Genomic DNA, 1,697 nt, shown 5'->3' with positions numbered 1-1,697 from the left:
TGCCCAGTGAACACTTGGAAAGGTGGTTAACCACTTAAGTCAATAGGAAACTGCAGATTAAAATAAAAGAGAGATACCACAACATACCCACAATAGTGGCCAAAATTTTAGCAAGTGACAATACCAAATATTGGCAAGATTGTAGAACAACTGAAACCCTCACATACTGATGGTGGGAGTGTAAACTGGTGCAACGACTTGGGAATATGGTTTAGCTCATCCATAAATTCAAATAAATATATGTATAACCTAGGACCCTACAATCCTCCTCCTGGTAATAAATTCAACAGAAATTATTATTAATGGGGAATATAATTGGTACAGACTCAAAGAGAACAATTTGTCAGTATCAAGTGAATTCTTGCAATTCTACTCTTAAGAATCTATCTCACAGAAATATTTACCTAAGTAACAAAAAAATTTTTGTATGTAGATATGTGTTCTAGTATTATATGTAGTGGGAAAAAATAGAAATAACCTGAATGTTTATCAATTGGTGCATGGTTAATTAAATTATAGATGCATGAAAATTACCTAAGAATTAAAAAGAATGAAGCAGATCTATATGTATTGGTTGGAAAGTTATCCTACATACATTGTTAAATAAAAAATTTACAGAGCAATATACATGGCATTATTATTTATGAACAGAAAATACGACCATTTAAATGGTTCAAGTATACATACATGCAAATACAGAGAAAGATCTGGAAAGATAGAAACAAATGGTTAACAGTGGCTCTCTTTGGGAAGTAGGATTGGATGAGGGCAAGGCATGTAAAGGATATTTAGGTTTTATACTATGTAATTTTAACTACAAAAACATTTTCATGAATTGCTTGCATATTTTTTTAAAAGACTAGTTTTTGTCCTCACAGGGAGACACTCAGTTGAAGAAGCAATGAAATATAAGCATTATTAGCATTAAAATGAAAGCTGCCTGCTGCAAGTGGAAGGGCATAAGATTGCTGACATAAGCCTTACATTTCACTTTAAAGGAAACATCAAAATAACAATGGCTTCACTTCCTCCCATCAAGATGAGAAAAGATCTTTCTATAGAACCAGGAGAAGTTACAAGTTTCATAGCTTCTAAAACATATGTAATTCTTTGAAAAAAAAAAAAAAATACCAAGGGTGGGATTGCTGACTTGTATGGCAGAGATATGTTTAACTTTATAAGAAAATTTTAAACTGTTTTTCAAGGTGGGCATACCATTTGGCAATCCCACCAGTAGTGTATGAGAATTCTGCTTGGTCCACGTTCTTGCAAACTAACTTGGTATTATGCATTTTTTAAAATATATGTAACTCTCCCAGTAGGCTACTAATGGTATCATACTGTGGCTATAATTTGCATTTCCTGCTTGCTTTATGTGCTTATTTGTTATATACCGAGTTTCTTTGGTGAGGTATCTGTTCAGATCTTTTGCAAAAATTTTATTTGGCTGTTTTGTCTCATTATCAAATTTTGAAAGTTATTTATATAGTCTGGATACAAGTCCTTCGTTAAAAATGTGATATGGAAATATTTATCCCAATCTTTGACTTGTCTTTTTATTCTTTCAACAGTTTCTTTGAATAAGAAAAGTTTTTTTAATTTTGATGAGGTGCAACTCAACAATTTGTTCTCTAATTTTGACATTTGTGTCATACCTAAGAAAGTCTTTGCTTAATCCAAGGTCACAAATATTTTCC

The 1,697-nt window shown here is 31.9% G+C and overlaps 1 annotated feature.

Moving 5' to 3' along the window:
* Positions 621 to 1,469: an enhancer, noted in NCBI's record as "OCT4-NANOG hESC enhancer chr6:57638823-57639671 (GRCh37/hg19 assembly coordinates)". NCBI's record gives its function as "activates a minimal SCP1, AML or CMV promoter by ChIP-STARR-seq in primed H9 embryonic stem cells {active_cell/tissue: H9 hESC(primed)}" and the evidence as "EXISTENCE:reporter gene assay evidence [ECO:0000049][PMID:30033119]".

This window comes from Homo sapiens, chromosome 6 (assembly GCF_000001405.40).
Source record: "Homo sapiens chromosome 6, GRCh38.p14 Primary Assembly".
In the NCBI taxonomy this organism is placed as follows: Eukaryota; Metazoa; Chordata; class Mammalia; order Primates; family Hominidae; genus Homo; species Homo sapiens.
This window is presented reverse-complemented; position numbering and strand designations above follow the sequence as displayed.